Raw genomic sequence first — 21203 nt, 5'->3', positions numbered from 1 at the left:
GAAGCTTACTGGCAGAACTAGGTCCCTTACTCATCCTTAATTGCAAGATGCTAAGAGCAAATTCTTTTTTTTTTTTTTTTTTTTTTTTTTTTTGAGACGGAGTCTGGCTCTGTCGCCCAGGCTGGAGTGCAGTGGCGCGATCTCGGCTCACTGCAAGCTCCGCCTCCCGGGTTCACGCCATTCTCCTGCCTCAGCCTCCTGAGTAGCTGAGACTACGGGCGCCCACCACCACGCCCGGCTAATTTTTTGTAATTTTTAGTAGAGATGGGGTTTCACCGTGTTAGCCAGATGGTCTCGATCTCCTGACCTCGTGATCCACCCGCCTCGGCCTCCCTAAGTGCTGGGATTACAGGTGTGAGCCACCGCGCCCGGCCGCTAAGAGCAAATTCTATGGTGTGAGGGAAGCAAAGAAGAAGAGGGTTAGAAATGGCATTCAGATAGCCCTGCAACAGTGCCAGTCGCAAATGTTGTATCTCTATTCAGTATTTACTTTTATAGCACTTTGATGCTATAGATTCTAATATAAAAGTCATTCACGTATTATATACTATATCTCAGAGTTATTTCTTTTGTGTCTGCTACAATTAGCAATCTGAAAAAAAGAGTTTTTTTTTACCTTTATTGTTATCCAATCTGTGTGGTTTCAAAATATTAACATAACTTTTTTTGTACATTTACAATTTCCATCAAGTTATAGGTATCTTGAAAAATTACTGACAAAATGTATTTCTTAACAGGATAAGAACTCATTCTACATTAACTGAAAATGTGCTTTCTCATAAATTACAGTTTGATGGTAGGATCGTATCACGGTAATTGTGATTTTATTAAAATTTTTAATCCTATGATTATAAAAACGTATTCTCTTTTTGAATAGAAATGACAGTAATGAGATTATATAGGTTTGTGTCATTTAAATAAAAATACGTGAATTTAGAACAAACATTTTAAAATAATAGCTATTAATCTGTTATAAAAATATAGGAAATATGAATCTGTAGGAAAAACATTCTAATTAAAAGTTATCTTTAAAGCGAATTTAAATATTTTTTAAAAAGTAACAGCAGTGAATTTTTTAGAGTTATATTACTACTAGAGTTTTGTAAACTGAAAACTAATGTTTTATAAGCTGCTTTATTTAATTTTATCTTAATGATTTAACAGATTATTGATAGGTGCAGTAAGTGACAAGGAAAATAATTTTTAAATCTATTATTTCAGTCTTATAGATTTCCAGTAATAAATAATTCTACTTGATGTTCTTTGTATATTACTGATAAAATGTGTATTTTAAATTATTTTATTTGTTTAGTGAATTTAAAGCTTTCTATGACAATAAAAGATAATAAATTTGTATCTATGGGTGCCTTCTTGCAACCTCAACACTTTTAAAGATAATTCACATTGTCTTAAAAGTCTATGTTGAATTAATAATGTACATCGTAAATATATCCACTTTTAATGTCAGTGTAAGATTATTTTTTTCTGCATTCAAATCTAACTTTTAGTGGACATTTCAGCAAGCTATGTTTTTGTGTTTTCCCTACAGTTTCCCATAACCTTCACTCATTGCCACATACATAAGAGAGTTAGCTATCCTTCTTGAGATGAACATGTTTTTTAGTTAATTCATCTAAAAATTATTCTATTTGAAGATGTTTGATTTCATTCTATTTTTCCAGTAATGGACGTGATGCTTGCAGAGAGCTCATTGGGTTCTTTTTCACTCATGACCAATCCCTTACAATTTATGAATATCGACAATTTGGGAAAAATAGGTATGCCATTAAACATTGTTAGAACTCTGGAGATGTTCACTTCCGAGAGAAGCTAAATAACTTTCCATTTTTTTTTCATTTACTTTCTAGAACAAATGTGCTTCCTTTTATTCAAAAAAGCATTTATAGTCATCAGTGTGGACGAAGAAAAGGAAAACAATACCGACTTGGTGATTTTTATGTTGTAAGTGGTGTGTGTGTGTGCACACATTTAATACCAGATGGTGGATTTTGTGGAGTCCCATGGAGGTGGAGGAGTAGGGCTTCTAGTCTTCAATTTATTTCCTCTCCTGCATCCTGAACAGGGTCATTTGTGTGGGCTAATGGTTGATGTTTTGCCAGGAGCTTCTGCTTCCCAGCCCCAAATCTCAAGTCTGAATCCAAGCATATCATTTATTTTCTGTAACACCCCCCTTCCCATTCCACAACATGGGTTGTCTCCAGATGAAGTTGTATCTTCGTACTTTGAAAAGTTCTTCAAAGCTGTGTCATTGGGTGAGTGGCTATCTCAATATTACCCAAAGTAGGTTTATCCTCCGAGGATGGACAGTTTCCTCCATGTGAAGGGGTATGGGCCTCTGGAGCTGTCATTTTTTTGATGGATAGCCTATCTTCCTTGTGATTTTCCCACTTTGGGAAATTCCCGGCATGTGGTGTGTCACAAGGATTCCCTAGAATGGGTGGAGCATAGATAATGTTACAGTTTGTGTAGTGCTCTTAAATTTTAAATCATATTTACACTTTATATCGTGAGTAAAATACAGCACTATCCACAGTGATCATTCAGGTAATATATGTTTCTATCCTAAGATCTGTAGATGGAACAGTAAGTTAGACTCATTCCCTGCTTTTTTGGAGCTGGCAGTCTAATAGGAGACACAGATAGATAAGAGGGCCAGATAGGAGGGGCAATGTGGGCCAGATAGGAGGGGTGATGGCCTAGTTTTGTGGAATCAAAGGAGGCTTCCTAGAGAAAATGCCATCTACCCTTGACTAGGAGTTAGCAAGGCTGGGATAAGGGAATAGGTTAGGGTGGGGAAAAGCTTCCAGGTGGAGAAGACAGCTTGTTCTAAGAACAAAAAGGAAGAGAGCACATGACTTATTTGGAGAACTGGAAGTAGTTCAGTCTGGTTGGAGGAGAGTTCAAGGTGGAGGTTGGCAAGAGATGAGTCAGAGCTTATTAAAAGCAGCCCATGTTAAAGAGTTATCTAACATGTATTGGGGAGTCACTGGAAGAGAAGATGTGGATGGAATGGGGGAAGGTGGCATGATCAGATTTGTGATTTTGAAAGATCTGTCTGGTTACAATGTGGGGAAGGAATTGAAGACTAGATACACAAGGGCAGGATAGGATTGAATTATATTAATCTAGGAGAGAGATTATGGCAACCTGAATAAGCAAATGACTCTGGCTATGAAGCTAATTAGAAGAATAAAAATTCTTTGATAGGTAGAGTCAGTACAATTTGGTGGCCAGTTAAGGGAGAAGTATGGGTTGAGGAAAAATTTTACATCTTATACTTAAATACACTATACACTATACATATGACACTCAAGCCTGCCTCTTGAGATCTAGAGAAAATCAGCTCGACTCCCATTTCACAACCTGCAGAAGAATGTTTAATGCATATTCCAAGTTTAAAGTTTGAGCTGATATCTCCAAAAATTTAGTGTAGTTTATGATTTATTCTCACTATCCTCATTCCATATTTCTTTGAAGTGGATGTGGAACTCTGTTCTTTTTTATGATTTCCAAGAAAGAAAGGAAAGAAAGAAAGAAAGAAGGAAAGAAGAAAGAAAGAAAAAAAGAAAGAAAGAAAGAGAGAAAGGAAAGAAATTCAGCCAGCTACATATAAACCACATATGTGATGCTCTGTGTGTGGAGCAGACATTTTGAAGGGGATATCAAAAGAGGTTCACATTGTAGCATTGTAAGCATTTTACAATTTATTAGATATCCCTACTTTTAAAAATACATCCCTTGAATATTTCCCATAGTAAAAGCACTCTTCTCCATTTTTCTAACTCTTCCACCTCTTGTTCCTGCCCCCAATCTTCTATTGTTTTATGCAGAAATATTCAACCCTATCCCTCTTTTTTTTTGGTGGTGGTGTTCTGTTTTGTTTTCCAGATGTGGCTGTGGAACTTGCCTTTTCATATCTATATGCCCCATTAAGTCTTTCTAAACACTCCTTAAAAGAAATTTTGGTGCCAGTTTTTAAGATAATACATGAATGTGCACATGTGCCCATAGATGCACCTGCATAAAAGTGAGACCACGCTGGGTGCGGTGGCTCACGCCTGTAATCCCAGCACTTTGGGAGGCCGAGGGGGGCAGATCACGAGGTCAGGAGATTGAGACCATCCTGGCTAACACAGTGAAACCCCGTCTCTACTAAAAATACAAAAAAATTAGTTGGGCATGGTGGCGGGCACCTGTAGTCCCAGCTACTCGGGAGACTGAGGCAGGAGAATGGCGTGAACCCAGGAGGCGGAGCTTGCAGTGAGCTGAGATTGCGCCTCTGCACTCCAACCTGGGTGACAGAGCGAGACTCTGTCTAAAAAAAAAAAAAGTGTACCCACATATGTATTTACTCATATGCACGCATATATGCACTGACACAGACTGTACCCTTAGGCACACATGTAAGTATACACACAACACTGTTACACAGATCACATATTCTTAATTGCTTAACATAATAATTATTTACAGGAGACTCTGAATCTTGTCATCCTCAATCTTACCCTCCCTCAACTAAAAAGTCAATCTAAACTGCTGTGTTCTACTAAGTGTTCTGCCCAGATTATTATAATCTAAATCCAGGATAATATTTCACTTTATCACTCATAGTTCTCCATCTTCCAATCTGAATTGCAGATTCTTTGGCTCTTCCTTTTTATATCTTCTTTTCTATCTCTGGTAGTTTTTTCTTTATATCTTTTAGGTTTTTGTTTTGTTTTTCATACTATCAGAAGATCACTAATTTCTCCAAAGACTTCCTAATTTCTGGGTGTTATTCTATTATGAAGATCTAAAAGATTAAAGACTGAAAGAGTCCAAATCTGAACATACCTTCTCTGTTCTTTTAGTGGGCTTAGTTTTTCTTCATAGTCCTGACCTTATATGTGTATATTTTTATCTATTCATTATTTTCTCTGACATGATGGTATAACTACCCTTGAAGGTAAGGACTTACCTGTCATGACCACTACCATGTTCCTAGCAACCTGAAGAATGACAAGTACTTAGAAGACACTGAGTACATATGTATTTAATGAATGGATTTAAATGTGATAAGCTGCAACTTGTACAAGGGCCTAAACCACTCTTATTCCTGAAGCCATATTTTTAATATCTCTATTTTTGTATTGAAAACATGAAGACAAAGCGAACATCGTATGTGTCCAGATTTTTAGTCAGTGAAGACTGGATGAAAGACTAAATAAGTGCAAAAGGGCCATGTTGGATATACACTGATTTCCATCATACTGACAGTTATGGTGGTGCAGCATCTTGCTAGCTGGTTTCCCAAAAGGCTTTATTTGCCAAATGCTGGGGAGGTGAAATATTTGCCCACCAGGAAAAAACACAAAGCTTTAAATTTGAAGTATAGGTAAATATTGCCAAGTTTTGTAGTCAAATATGTTTAAATCTTTAACTAAAAAAATTGAGAAATCTTTTTTCAGTTTTCATCTTACCTCTGTTTGTTGTTGTTGTTGTTTTTCTTTTTCAATTGAGACATGGTCTCGCTGTTACACAGGCGGGTCTTCACCTCTCATAACTTGTCCACAGGCTATTGTTTGTCCTTTGGTCCCATTCAGCAACTAAAGGGAATCATTTACAAAACACTGTCTGGTCTTCCAGGCCCATTCATTTACAACCTCCCCCATTTCCCTCTCCCCAGTGAGGAGGTTATTTAAGTATCAGCCATCTGGCTCTTTGAGTTTTCTTTCTTTTTTTCTTTTTCTTTTTTTGGTATGACTCCTATGCTTATGCACGTTAATAAATTTGTTTTGCTATTCTCTTGTAAACTTGCCTTTTGTTACAGGGATGTAGGCAATGAGCATTATGATGGGGAGGAAAGGGCTCACCTCCTTCCTATCCCGACACATACATGTTTTTGGTGTAAACAATAACTAGTCCTCAAGTAAGAAGACTCCGGGGTACCATTTGTCACACATAGTTTATCCTAGATTGACCTGGTAATTAGAGTGACTATCTGTATTAGCTAATTGGCTTTATCCGAGGTGGGGGAGGGGGAAAAAACAAACTTTTCATATCTTTGTGACAGGAGATGGTTCTGCACTTAGAGCAAGGTGCCTAAGAAAGTTAGGCTCCCACCCTCTCACAGAAACTGGGAGATAACAGTGCTCTCTCCCTTGCTGTTTACACTCAAAGAGTGGCTCACCGGTCCTTGAGAAAGCCTTATCTAGGTCATAAAGCTGACAACAGGCTTATCTAATTTTCAGAAGTATTTGTATACATTTCAAAGAGAGGAGAAAGTACTTACATTACAATTACAAATTCTGTAAAGTAAATGTGCTGAGAAAATGGAGGGGAGGGACATCCTTCCTTTATATTCAACAGGCAGAATTAAGCCCCTATTTATAATTTGTATTTGTTGGCCAGGCGTGGTGGCTCACACCTGTAATCCCAGCGCTTTGGGAGGCCCAGGCAAGTGGATCACGAGGTCAGGAGTTTGAAACCAGCCTGACCAACATGGTGAAACCCCGTCTCTATTAAAAATACAAAAAAATAAAGATAAGAACCAGCCGGGCGTGGTGGTGGGCACCTGTAACTCAGCTACTTCGGAGACTGAGGCAGGAGAATTTCTGGGACCCCTGAGTCAGAGGCTGCAGTGAGCAGAGATCGTGACACTGCACTGCGGCCTGGGCGACAGTGCGAGACTCCATCTCAAAAAAAAATAAAAATTATATTTGGTATTTGTCCTTACACTGGCTTTGTTTATTTGAGCAGCTCAGAAATTAAAATAATCATTTTATAAGTTTAGAATAAGATTTTTTGATAGGAATTTTGTGGCTGAAGTTTTGAAGTTCTAATTAGGTTGAAATTAGGTTTTATAATTAGGCAACATCTGTCATCAAAAGTTCAGCTGTGAAAGAGTATGAGAAATCTTCACAGTTCTTCAGTTTGTGGTATGTCATTCTGTAGGCCATTAGCTCTATTCAGGGAGGTCATAATTTAAATTAAATTATTTGTTCTTTTTTCCTCTCATTCTCATTAAACAAACTGAGTTTATTATATTGCTGACTTTTTTGTTCACATGGATTGTTAAATAGAAGACTTCTGAGATTGACAGAGATATTGGTTTATCTATATAGTTTCTCCAAATACATATAAGCATTCTCCAAATATACTTCTTACCCTTGTTAAAGTATATCGTGTCACATTAATCAAAATCCATTATTTAAAATTGATGTTAGTTATATTTTATTTCTTACATGCTTTCTAGCTTCATTCATCTGTTCTTTTGTTTAGGGTGCAACCTTGACATTTTTGAGTTCTGATCATCTCAGCCTTCCAGAAAGCATCAAAGAAAACACATTACTTAAACTCCGAATCACAAATATTGATCAAATAGCTTTGGATTCTCTCAAGTAAGTTAAATATGCATTTGGCAATTTGAAAGTAGGTGAAAACACTATTTTTAAATTATCTTAAAATGACATTCTACTATAAGGTATTTATAACTTCATTAAGGTTTATATTTTGAAAAAACAAGCATAGCTACGTATGTCTTTTTTATGTACTATCTTGTACTCAAATACACTTCATGTGTGGGAACAGTTATAATCAATGAAATATTTGAAAATATTCAATTTTATGTTAAAGATACCTTATTAATTTGCCTTTGCTATAACACTTTTATTTTACCAAGTATTACCAAAAGAAATAAATTTAAAAAAGGATATCAATACAATACTATAACAATTTTTTCACATTGTTATTATGATTTTTTTTTAGTATCTAAAAAAGTCTGAGGGTCCCATATGCTTACAGTATTCATTGATTGATAAAGTGCACAGTGAAAAATTAGTTCTAGACATCAAACATTGCTTTTAAAATGAATTTTTTTAATAACAGGAATATATATTTTGATTAAAAAATATATATTCCTGTGATATTATATATAATATATAATATATACATATTATATATGTATTATAGATTATATTACATTATATATAGATCTATTATGTATAGATCTATACATACATAATATGTATAGATACATATATAATATGTATATATAATATATATTTTATATATATATACACATTAGAGGCTATATCCTACAAAATGGCTGTAAGGAAGTCTGTGTTTCTTCATCATTTACTATATTGCTAAAAATGAATGCATTTGAGGGGGCTTTTAAAAATAATAGTTTTTCATTTTATGCTTTGCAAGGTAAAATTGCTTTTAAATTTAATAGTTTTAATTAAATGTTTAAAACATTAAAATTGTTACAAAATGAATGTTGGCCAGGCGCAGCGGCTCACTCCTGTAATCCCAGCACTTTGGGAGGCTGAGGTGGGCGGATCACAAGGTCAAGAGTTCGAGACCAGCCTGGCCAACATGGTGAAATCCCGTCTCTACTAAAAAATACAAAAATTAGCTGGGCGTGGTGGCAGGTGCCTGTAGTCCCAGCTACTCACAAGGCTAAGGTGAGAGAATCGCTTGAACCTGGGAGGCGGAGGTTGCAGTGAGCCGAGATCTCGCCACTGCACTCCAGCCTGGGTGACAGAGCGAGACTCTGTCTCAAAAACAAACAAACAAACAAAAAACAAACAAAACAAGTAGTTTTACAAGTAGTCCTTGTAAGATTTTAAGGATTTTAGCTCTCAGTTTAATCTTCTTAGGCATCAAAGCAGCAGGCAGAGTTGGGACTTGATTAAATTCTAAGCACTCTTCCAAGTTTGAGAGCTTCTTTGAGTCTGGAGCAGGGAAGAGCTTAGAGGTTTTATACTCAAGATTGTAAAATAGAATATATATATATTTCATCCCTGTGAACATGTCAATTGCAGAACTGCTTCTATGGAACAGGAGGATGATATAATCATTCAAGAAACCAATGATAGGCTGGTCTTCAAAGCAATTCAAGGTATGTGTTATTACTGTACTCTCAAGTACTTTGAATTTTCAGTCCTTTTTTATAATCAGTAAAACAGCATTTTCCCAGATATTTCTCAGTGGCACTTGATTTATATTTACCCTTTGCTTATTTAAAAAAGAATATATATATATATATATATATATATATATATATATATATATATACTTTTAAAAATAAGCTATATATATATATACTTTTTAAAATAAGCTATATATATATATATATATATATATATATATATATATATATATGCTTTTATTGTTTAGGATTTCTAAACGTTTTAAGATTTTCCTTACTTTAATGGTCCTAACTAGTATTATATGAATTATAAAATTAAGTGTTTTAGAAATTACTAGATAATATGGGTTTTACTCATAAACTGAATAAAATGTGAAAGTAATTTTTGTAATATAATACTTGTCTTATGTACTAGATAACATCCTGAAGAGGTTTGTGGTGTCCTAGTGTAAAAGAAAAAAAAGCTAGACTGGGAGCCAGATTGATGTTTGGACTCTGTTGTGCAAGACACACATGACTTTAGAGAAATCTCTTGCATCTCTTTCTTCATCTCTAAAATAGGGATGATAGTACTTCTCATATGAAATTTCCAGGGTTGTTGTAGGTAATAAATTAGATATATGTCAGTTTTGGATACTTAAACATTTTCCAAATTTGGGAAAATGCAGTATGGTAGACTCGATTAGACAGTTACTCTGTTGGATCTCATAGTATAAAATGGAGAAAGATATTGAATAAGCAATCACAGAAATTAACATGTAATTTATGTTTTTTTTTTGTTTTTTTTTTTGAGAGAGAGCCTTGCTCCATTGCCTGGGCTGGAGTGCAATAGTACAATCACAGCTCACTGCAGCCTCAGATTCCTGGTTTCAAGTGAGCCTCCTTGCCTCAAGCCTCCTGAGTAGCCAGGACTACAAGTGCATGCCACCACACCCGGCTAAATCTTTTTTTTTATGTTTTTGTAGAGACAGGGTCTTGCTATGTTCTCCAGGCTGGTCTGGAACTTCTGGGCTCAAGTGATCCTCCCACCTTGGCCTCACAAAGTGCTGGGATTATAGTCATGAACCATCACACTTGGCCTAATTTGTGAATTTTCATGAATCCTGATTTATCTTTTAAAGATAAGGGGCTCACAGTAAGAAGGCAAGAAACAGATTTGAAAAGTTTCGTTTGGACTCTCATATGTTCTTGATGCCAAAGTGTGTAAACAGTTTATTATATCATTGTCAATACAGTATTTGTCACAATTGAACTTGGTGACATTTGTTTTTTTCTCTCATGTATTATATCTAATAACTGCTTTAGTAAAGTTACCAATCTATTCTTAAGTAAATATGGTACAAAGTGCATTAAGTGAAATAACAGCTACAAAGAGAATGCTAGGGATCTAAGCAAATAACCTCTTATGAAATATATAAGTATAGGATAGAATTCAAAAGCTTTGATGCTATTTTGTATAGAAGTTACAATTTGAAGATTTCAAACTATTTTTAAAATGTTGAACTGATAATTTTTGGGTGACTTGCCTGTCATCAATTTTGTAATTCAGTTGATAAAAACTAAGAAAAGGAAAACAGATTAAAGATATGGGGTGGTTAAAGAGGTTGTCTACACAACAAAATCTAAGATTTTATTTGTAATATTTAGGTTATTCTCTTGGTGATAAAGTGAAACTGTATTTTTCTGTTTTAAAAACATACCACTTCCACCACACAGTGGTGCTATAGTTCTGGCATATTTACATGTGATTTTATGTTTAATCCTCTTGATTAAAAACATCCTATTTTCCAAAGTCTTTTGTCTTACATTTGATTTGTTTGAATATTCACATTCCTTATTTCAGTTACATCAACTTTAATTTTCTTATGAAAGATAACTGCGGCTTTATACATTTATGCATAGGAACAATTTGTTTTCATCTCTCTTCTTGTTGAACAGATGTGCTAAAAGAAAAACTACATAAAAGAGGTGTTCGTATTTTGACTGGATTGGGAAAATATTTTCAACAGTTGGACAAGGAAGGAAATGGACTTTTAGATAAGGCAGATTTTAAGCAAGCTCTAAAAGTGTTTCACTTAGAAGTGTCTGAAAAGGTATGTGCTACAGAAAATTCTCTGCAGCAGATAATATGTTATTCTTAGGTGGCATTATTCACTGTTCTACTGAAATTTTAGTTTTCATTTATTTTCTCCTTCTCTATGCCCTTTATCAGTGTTAAGCTATCAGGTTACAAGCCCTGTTGGTTTTTAAAGTTTAAACATTGCTCCATCCTATATTTATAAAGAGCTTAATAACCAGGCATTGTGCTAAGCTCTGAGATAATACTCTGTACTGTCAAGATCACCATAATTGAAGGACAATGAACATAAAACAAAATATGTATTCAGTGGAGAATGTTGTTGGAACACCATGGGGTAGGTACCTGATTCCAAGACAGGTTGTGGGGAAGGAGAACAAAGATCATGGAAGGATGCCTGGAGGAGGATACATCTAAGCTGAGTTTTGAAGGTTGAGGAGGAATTAACCAGACGAGGGAGAAAAAGGAGTGTGAATCAGACAATGTGTATTTTATGAGAAGGAGACACATGTGAAAGCTTGGAGGGGAAGGGAGTGTGGCCTGTTTCTGACACTGCAAATGATTAATAATCTTCACATATACTGTTCCCTCCACTGTGAATAATCTTCTACTAGATCTTCACATACTGGGTTTTCTTAGTATTCAGGCCACAGCTTTCTCTGTCAAGAGCATTACCCTGACACTTCTGTCTAAAGGAGCACTCCCATCTGATCCTTGGTCCTTTCTATACCAATTTCTCATTTTATTTTTTTTCATGCCACTTTGTAAATATTTTCTGACTCTGCCTGCCAGTAGATCATTAAGTCTCATCAGGGTGGGGACCAGAGTGTTTTTGTGTTCCTGCTCTTTATTAACATCTGAAATAGAACCCAGCATATGGAAAGTTAAGTAGATAATGCATTAGTTTGAATGGATAAATTTATGGAAGGAAGGAAAAGAGAAGAATGGAGAGAAATGTCTGGTACATTAAAGTCTTGCATGTCATGCTAAGAGGGTTGGATTTTATTCTAAAAGCATATGAACCACATTTGTCTCAAGGATTTCAGATAAAGGATCTCTTGCATTGTTCTCTTTTGCTTCAAATGATCTTGTCACAAGATGTGTATTTTGTAGAAAGAACACTGTAAATTGAACTTAGGACATTTAGGTTCAAGTTCCAGCTTTGCTATTTGAACTGTATGATCTTGGACCAGTCTTTTAACTTTTTTGATTGGGGGGCTCTGCCTGAGCAATCCAGAGGTAATTGCTATAGTTAGAGTTGCTTGGAAGCTCAAATAAGAAAATTACATGGGAATCTGCCATATCAGCTGTACAATTCTGTGCCAATATCATGTTGCCTAACATTGTTCTGACATACCCATCTTTTTGGTTTTTATGATGTTTAATCTTTTGCCTACCTAGTGATACATACTAGGGATCATCTAACTTCCTCTCTTCGTTTTGTAGATTAAAACAACAACAACAATAACAAAACAGCAATAGGAAATTAGAAAGCCTTGATGTCTTTGCTTACAATCACATGAGTGTGAATAGAAAAATAACACAAACTATGTTTCCTCTGCTTTCACACAGTAATAATCAACACAGAATACTTCTGCAACCAAATGCTTGTGGGGGTTCCACCCATACCAAGCTGTAGAAACCCAGTGGATAGCCTCTAATTCAATTCAATTCTGACATTATCTACCTGGAGGTAGCCTCAGATCCCACAGGGTGAGATCTCAGTTCTACAAGACAACCCCTTCCCCCAACACACTCTGCATAGAGCACCGGTCACAAGTTTGGGTCCCTGGAACTTGTGATCAACTAATTTCGAGTTGGGGGTTCCCACCACCCCCTCCTTGGGTTCAATTAATTTGCTGGAGCAGCTCACAAAACTCAGGAAAACTTATATTTACTGGTTTACTCTAATGGATATTACAAAGGATACAGATGAAGAGATGAATACGCAAAGTATCGGGAAAAGAGTGCAGAGCTTTCATGCCCTCCCTGGGTGCCACCCTCCAGGAACCTCCACAAGCTTAGCTACCCAGAAGCTCCCTGAACCCTGTCCTCTTGGCTTTTCTATGGAGACTACATTGGATAGACATGACTGATACATGCATAACTGTGTAGAAATGTGATTGGACAAAAGTGTATGACCTAATACTGATAGACTGAAGGAGGAAACCCAGGAAGGAATGCCTGTTCTGACTCTTCTTGGCCTCTGAGCAGCATTCCTTCCTCCATGGTGGGGGCAGGACCCCTTCTGAAATGGGGGTCTTATGGCCTACAATTAGACAAGGGAGGTCAGAGAATATTTTATGGCCAGCTCCAACACAGAAAGGCAGGAGACGATTCCTGCCTTGAAGAGGGAAAGGAGCTTAAGGTGAAAGAAGGGCAGGAGAAGGTCAGAGAGAGAGAGAGAGAGATTCCATTTTCTAAGGCCTGAAGTGCCCAACTGTCATAATAAAAGATTGTAACAAGAACAAGGAAGGGCAATGGGAATTATGAACTGGTCCTATGGATGAAAACATATATATATAATATATATATATGTATATATATGTGTGTGTTTGTGTGTGTGTGCTTGCGTGTGTATGTGTTTATAAAATCACACACAAGTAATAGCTGATATAGGACTAGAACGCAGAAAACATATTCCCGTCTAGTAATTTTTCTGTATCATAACAATACTTCCCTTTTTGATTAATTTGCTAAATTGTTATGATTAGATCTAGGAACAAAAACTACAGTAATTATATAAGACTTCTAACATAGAGGGAACATATTATGAAAATATGAGCATGCTTCCTCCTTTTCTCATATATTTTAATATTTTATATTTTTTCTGTAATATCACTGTAAACTGCTCATGCAATGATAAGCATATACAAACAGCTCGAGAAGAAGAACTTAAGAATCACTAACCTAGGTCTAATTTTGAAACAAGAATGTTTGTGGGAAGGCATAGTCAGCCATTCTCCCTGATTTGAGATTAAAAAAATTGATATGTACCCTAAAAAGCCTAATTTATATAGAGTTACTATTAGTGATTTCCTTCAGCTTTTTTAAATGTAATTATTTTCCATTGTGTACTGTATCTTTGAAAGAAAGAGTATATATATTTATATCTCTTAAGTATATATAAATATAAATATGTATTTCTTGTTGTTGACAATTATGTTAAATTACTCAATTCTTGAAAATTATTTCTTTTAAGCTTTAAGAAGTATCTTTCAATTCTAGTAATCCATGAATTGGATGAGCAAATTGGTCTTCTCCTGTACATATTACTCATGATTTTAAAGGTCAAGCTCATCTTCAGTTTAACTACACAGACACTTAAAGTCTGCATAATGTGCAGTACATTATGATAGACAAAGATGTATGGGGTTGTTGAGAATTGAGGGAAGGCAGGCATCTTTAGATTTTGTTTTTCTAGTTAAAGTTTTATTTGAAAAAAATAGGAGGGAGTGGAAGATGATGTTTTTTGAGTACCTATTATTTGCTAAGCACCTTGTTAGGTATTTTATCTACATTCACATTTAAAGCTAACAACTTGATTAAAACATTGAAAAAATATATTTACTTGAGTTTGAGAAAATGATGCTGTAATTTCTTTGTTGTCAAGGAAAACTGTGTTAGAACTTTCTATTAAATAGTGCATTTGATGAAGAAGTAAATGGTAATGGTAAAGTGAATAAACTGGCATAAGGGATTTATTCCAAATTATACCTTTCAGTGTAAATTGTAGAATAATATTAGAGTCATTCAAATCTATATTTTCAAGCATGAAGACTAGCAGAAATATAATTAGTGGTTATAATGCCATTGGAAGCACTCCAGGACCGGATGTGACTTTTGAATTAACACAGATATAATACATTAAAAGTATTTAAATGTTCAAAACTGAGTAAATGGTAACCACACATACACAGACACACACACATATCTATATATCTATAGGTAGATAGATGTATAGATATAGAAATAAATTAAAGTTGAAAAGATAAGTTTGTTACCAGAGCATGGGGAGAGGGGTGGTATACAAGGAAAATGGAAAATTGGTCAGAAGGTACAAGTTTTCATTACACAGTGGATTAAGTTCTGGGTGATCTATTGCACAGCATGGAAACTATAGTTTATAATAATGTATATTTCAAAATACCTAAAAGGGAGGATTTTAAGTGCTCTTGTCACAAATAAATGATAAATATTTAAGATGATAGATATGATTGTATTATTCTACAATGTACACATGTATTGAAATATCATATTGTGCCCTATAACTATATACAATTATTATTTGTCCATCAAAAATAAAACTTAAAAAAGTAAATTTGTGAGCTATTGCCATTCCTAAATGGCTCCTAACTTTACAGAACCATTCACCACAGATTCCTCTAAATCACTTTTTTAGTGGTTTTGATTGGATTTTTATGTAGCTTCTTCAATTTTCTTATTAAATGAGTTATATCTAGGACTACAGAAGATGTAACAAAATACAACTAAGATGATTTTGTTGTGACGATATGTAACTTAAAAATGCAACAGTTATCTCTGATTGTTTCTAGGATTTTGAGTCTGCATGGCTAATTCTGAATGACAATGGCAATGGCAAGGTTGATTATGGAGAATTCAAACGTGGTATTATTGGTGAAATGAATGAATACAGGAAATCATATGTTCGAAAGGTAACTTTGTTAAGTAATCTTTCAAATTGTTATTTTTAATAGATTGTTAGGTTCAGTATTTTAAAACTTTAATGAATTACCATTTAAAAGTTTTAAATCTATTTACTTATATGTTGGGTTTAGTAAAACAGAAAACAGGTCCATATGCATACAAATCAACCCAGAATGAAGCAAAATAACTTGTGTATATATTTTAGAAAAATACTATGAAAGGAAAATAAAATTTGAAATCAAATTTTGGTTAACAAATTACTAGCTCCATAAGTTGTTGCCTCCATAAATGACTAGCTACGTGAATATATGTATTATAAAATATTCCTAAGCCTCAGTTTCCTATCTCACAGAGTTGGTGTAAAGATTGAATAAGATAATGCATATACCATTCTTAGCATTGTGGCTGTTCCAGTGTCAATACTCCAGTCATTTTGTTTTAGGATGATGACTAAAAAATGTTTCTCTGGTCTTTAGAATATGCATGATAAATATTAACTTGTAAATTAAGATAATCATGTTAAATTGGAATTAAAAACAGGAGTACTGACTTTAATAGGAAGCTATGTATTACTTGGATTTTGGTAGCCATTTTTTATAGCATACTTTTGAGAACTATAGTTATCTTTTTTCTTTTGCATATGTACTTAATATTGAAACAAAGCTATTCTATATAATGTAAATAACTATAGAAATCCCAAATAGAGAAATTAGTCTCTACTTTTACTGGGCAAGAGACATAGTAAAAACCTTAAATTAGACAAATTCACCACATAATATTTATAAATGTGTACTTATTCGTACTTTCCATGTCCTTCCTGGTGATAGGTTTGAGAAACTGGTGTAGAAATTGGAGGCTTGTCTCTTTCATAAATCTTAGTAATGGGAATAGAGGGCAAGAGAAGTGTTATACAGTTCTGTATTAGTTTGCTTGGGCTGCCATAACAAAATACCACAGACTAGATGACTGAAATAATAGAAATTTATTGTCTCATAGCTCTGGAGGTTAGAAGTTCACAAACAAGGTGTCAGCAGGTTTGGTTTCTTCTGAGGCCTCTCTCCTTGGCTTGCAGATGGCTGCCTGTTCTCTGTGTCCTCACATGGTCTTCCCTTTGTCTGTGTTGTGTCCTACTATCTTTTATTTATTTATTTTTTTGAGGTGGAGTCTTGCTCTGTTGCCCAGGCTGGAGGGCAGTGGTGTGATCTTGGTTCACTGCAACCTCCACCTTCTGGGTTCAAGCGATTCTCCTGTCTCAGCCTCCCAAGTACCTGGGATTATAGGCACGCACCACGATGCCTGGCTAATTTTTGTATTTTTAGTAGAGACAGGGTTTCTCCATGTTGGCCAAGCTGGTCTTGAACTCCTGAAGCCTCAGGTGATCCACCCACCTCAGCTTCCCAAAGTGCTGGGATTACAGGCATGAGCCACCGTGCCTGGCCCTACTGCCTTCTTATAAGGAGACACCAGTCATATTGGATAAGGGGCCACCCTAATGATTTCATTTTAACTTAACTATCCCTTTAAAGGTCCTACCTTCAAATACAGTCATATTCTGAGCTACTGGGGATTAGGTTCAACATATGAATTTTGGAGGAACACAAGTCAATCTACAACAGCTTCCATATTTCTGTGAATGCAATATTATGAATAACCAGACTTGATTCTAGTTTTGACCCCACTACGAATGCAGAATGTTGCTTTGGGTAGCTTGTGTCTTTCTAAGTAGTGAATACTCTTCCCAGTGAAATATTTCATGATATCTTATGATAGAGCTACACTGAATTAGAGGAACAATAGCACAACTACATTTTAAAAAGTGTATTAAATTTCAAGAAATAGAGTAACATAACTCATTTAAAAGGTATTTCACTTTTTCATTGATTTTAGGGAGGAAATATTTGCAAATTCACTTCTTGAGTTAAAATATTCGTCTTGGCAATCTCTTTTGGCCATTTATGCGTTTCATATGAATCCTAGAGATGGAAGTTACCTGAGAGGTCTTTTACCCATCTCTTCAGTTTTCAGGGGAGAGAGGCCATGGAAATAGAGGTCAGGTTACTTTCTCAAGGTCAGGATGCTAGAAAGTGGTAGAACTTTCTAATTGAGTACAGATTTCCTAATATCTTGCTTCACTATCTTTCCTCCTGTATTTATAATTGTTCTTTTGTGTATCAGTATAGTACTTTTAAAATGTCTTGTTTATAGCTCAGAAATAACCTACTGTAAAATAGAATATTAGATTCCTATGTCTAATAATTTTACTTAAAAAATAACATTTGCCAGGCCGGACGTGGTGGCTCATGCCTATAATCCCAGTACTTTGGGAGGCCGAGGCGGGTGGGTCACCTGAGGTTAGGAATTTGAGATCAGCCTGACCAACATGGCGAAACCCCGCCTCTACTAAAAATACAAAAAATAGCTAGGTGTGGTGGCGGGCGCCTGTAGTCCCAGCTACTCGGTAGGCTGAGGCAGGAGAAACACTTGAACCTGGGAGGCGGAGATTGCAGTGAGCTGAGATCACGCCATTGCACTCCAGTCTGGGTGACAGAGCGAGACTCTGTCTCAAAGCAAAGCAAAACAACCAACCAACAAACTAATAATAATAATATTTGTCTGTTTAGGCCTTTATGAAACTGGATTTCAACAAAAGTGGCAGTGTGCCTATTATAAACATAAGAAAATGTTACTGTGCAAAGAAGCATTCTCAAGTAATTTCAGGTAATTATTCGGAGTTAAAATGCATTGGACTTTGAAAATGTTACTTAATAAAGATAATATCTTTATATTAATTTAAACCTTAGACTGAGGCCATTAGGGAGGAAATAAACTATTTTTTTGAACTGGAAACTTATGAACTATTTGCCTTTCTTCATTTAAAAATTCTTAGGTCTATTGCCCATACTCATTTGATTATTTGATATTTATTATCAATATAGAACTCATTTCCTACTTAGGAGATAGTAAGGGATTTAAGTTAAAAAGAATGAAATAGGTTTAGAAAATAGATAAATACATATGCAGGTTCTCAGAGTTATTTTTACTGTATCTGCTTATATAGTTATCCATACTTAAGGATTTAAGCAGAATGAAGGAGTGTCTTTCTCTAGGGATGGAGCTATACATAGAATGAACATACATATATCTATCAAAATTTGAGGATATTGTAAATTCCCTAAAGTAACTCTGGAGATTTATATCCTACTATATTTTTTCTAACTTTTTTACATAATTGTTTTATAAGTGCATGCTTTTTATAAAGAAAGCATTTGACTACCACAACTCTCCTCTTTACATTTCCTTCCATAGAAGTCAAAATTATCATTTAGCATATATATATTTCAGTTAATACATTATGAATTTTACTTACTCTATGAATTTTCATGGCTATGTGCATGCTATAAATATTTAATACTTTTTGAAGTTTTTTTGACATGAAAGGCGCACTGAAGATAATGTTATATAATTTGCTTTTTACACTCACAAGTATGTTTTGGAGTTCTTTATATGTTAATCCACATTGAGCCACCTTATTTTTTATCTTGCAGTATATTATTCTTTTTATGAATCAATATACTATCATTTACCTAGCCATTCTTTTATTGTTAGATTTTAAGTTCTAATTATTGATCAACAACTAATGAAGCAATAAATGTGCTTATTTGTGACTCTTTAGGCCTGTTTTCTACTGCTTCCCTGGAGTGATATTAATACCTAGAATTACTGGGATGTCTGCATTTAAAATTTTAAGTGATACTTCCAAATTACATTGTAAAATGACTATATTAAATTATATAGCCATTTGTTGAAGAGTTCTTTTCCTCCACAACTTTGCCAAAAAATTTCACTTTGCCAGTCTGATGGGTTAAAAAAACCCATTTTACATGGAGTTCCTTCATTACTAGGGAGGTTAAACCTACATTTGTATATTTATTGATTGTCCATCTTTAAGGAATATTTATTGACAATATTTTATGAGCAATTTCTTTTCAACTTATAAGTTTAATTCTGTACTGCTAAATACTATAGAATACTATTATTTTTAGAATTTTATTCCTTACTATTAAAAGAGATACACTGTAATTACTTTGGTTTCTCGTCATCATTAACCCTCATATATGGTTAATTTATTACTTTTAAGTATGAAATGAAATCATGAGATTTGGTTATGAAGATTAAAACTAATCATCACTGGATTCCAAATTTCTAATTATCTATTTCTTGTCGAAATAGTTTGATTTACTTATTCATAACATTAAATAAACTACAGCTACTCTATGAGAATTTTTAGTGTATGTTTAATTGTTGCTAGTGTATTTTTTTCCTTTAAACACGTCATTATCTGTTTCTCTTAATTAGTCATACTAAATATAAGAACGAAATAGTTTAACATCATGTATTTTTTTCTTTCTCTTTTCTCATCTAATAATATTATTTAGGTTGCTAAAATAGCTTCAGTTTTATTATGTGTCATGGAATTTTTGATGAGGGTTTTATTTTTGTTGTTGTTGGGAAAGCCTTTTTTGGTTTCAAAAATTCCATAATTTGTCTTTGCGTTCATATTAAAAATGACAACAGGCAAGCTAAATATTCCTAAATAGAAGAAAACTTGTCACTGTATTTCAAAGAAGAAAAAAAGTACCCCATTATTATTTATTATTGCAAATTATAATCTATTCACATGCGCACCTCTGGGATATAGTTTGTTCACAATTTACAATTGATTTTAAGGTAAAGCTCTTATACCACATACAATTTAATTTTAACTATAGAAAATATTCCTTCTTAAATTTGCTTAAGTAATATATTAGATAAAAGTATTTTAAGGTTTAATAGAAATGGTATATCCCAAATGTATTTCTGTATAATAGTTTTAGAAATATAACATTTTTTGCTGTAAATATTTTCTGGTCTCCGAGAGGACTGAAAAAAATTTAGTTATAGGTGATAGGAGGTAGATATTTCCTGGGTGAGGGGTATAAAGGAGGTATGAAATTCTTCGCTATTTGAAATATAAATTTGAGTGAAAAATGTTTCCTCAGAAAAAAAACTGTGTTAAAACTCCTCTGTTCAAAAGTATGGCTGGTAAACAAAGATGGAAATTTCTACCAAAATCTATGTTTTCATATAGTTTGGATCTTGATTAATTTTTAGCCTTGACTAACATTCAATTAAAACTTCATTTTATTATTTTATATTACCATCTCTACGTAGCACCATTATTCAGTCTTTTTACATTCAACTTGTATTTTATAAAGTAATGACTTTTTCTCTATTTCTTGTGTATGTTTTTAAAAGAAAGCAAACTTCTTAATATTCAAAGTAGATTTCATTCCTTTAGTTTGAAAGACCCTTTGCAATGCATTATTGTCTAAGTCCATTAGAGAACCTCTGGTTTGAGGGAAAAAAAATTAACTCTCACCTTAATTTTGTCCACCCCATTAGACAAATGGTTTGAGTAGTATTCCCATCTAAGCCTGTTATTTAAAGCATAACCTGACTTTAAAACGTTTTAGAGGGTCACAT

At 34.4% G+C, this 21203-nt stretch overlaps 1 protein-coding gene and 1 long non-coding RNA gene across 35 annotated transcripts in view; one reads left to right on the top strand and one right to left on the bottom strand.

The window, feature by feature from the left end:
- CAPS2 (calcyphosine 2) overlaps positions 1-21203 on the top strand; it is a 114923-nt gene that overhangs the window by 90253 nt on the left and 3467 nt on the right. For 21 of the 33 annotated variants that reach the window (XR_944789.2, XM_011538888.1, NM_001355030.2 and 18 more), the window contains 8 exons: positions 738-812; positions 1683-1778; positions 1869-1962; positions 7282-7400; positions 8829-8905; positions 10874-11028; positions 15569-15688; positions 18302-18398. Coding sequence is in view for 25 of the 33 variants with exons in the window: in XM_011538888.1 (XP_011537190.1) it covers positions 738-812; positions 1683-1778; positions 1869-1962; positions 7282-7400; positions 8829-8905; positions 10874-11028; positions 15569-15688; positions 18302-18398 (833 nt within the window). In the remaining 8 variants the exon portion in view is untranslated. Of the gene's footprint in view, positions 1-737; positions 813-1682; positions 1779-1868; positions 1963-7281; positions 7401-8828; positions 8906-10873; positions 11029-15568; positions 15689-18301; positions 18399-21203 lie in introns of those variants that run through there. The other 12 variants (NR_149156.2, NR_149155.2, NR_149161.2 and 9 more) reach the window with 4 other exon arrangements.
- Positions 2364-21203, bottom strand: part of CAPS2-AS1 (CAPS2 antisense RNA 1) — a 40096-nt gene continuing 21256 nt past the window's right edge. For both annotated transcript variants that reach the window (XR_001749212.2, XR_001749213.2), the window contains 2 exons: positions 5481-5606; positions 2364-2449 (listed from right to left, as the gene is read on the bottom strand). This is a non-coding gene — a long non-coding RNA (CAPS2 antisense RNA 1). The remainder of the gene's footprint in view (positions 2450-5480; positions 5607-21203) is intronic.

The sequence above is a fragment of the Homo sapiens genome, chromosome 12, assembly GCF_000001405.40.
Source record: "Homo sapiens chromosome 12, GRCh38.p14 Primary Assembly".
NCBI classification, from domain to species: Eukaryota; Metazoa; Chordata; class Mammalia; order Primates; family Hominidae; genus Homo; species Homo sapiens.
This window is presented reverse-complemented; position numbering and strand designations above follow the sequence as displayed.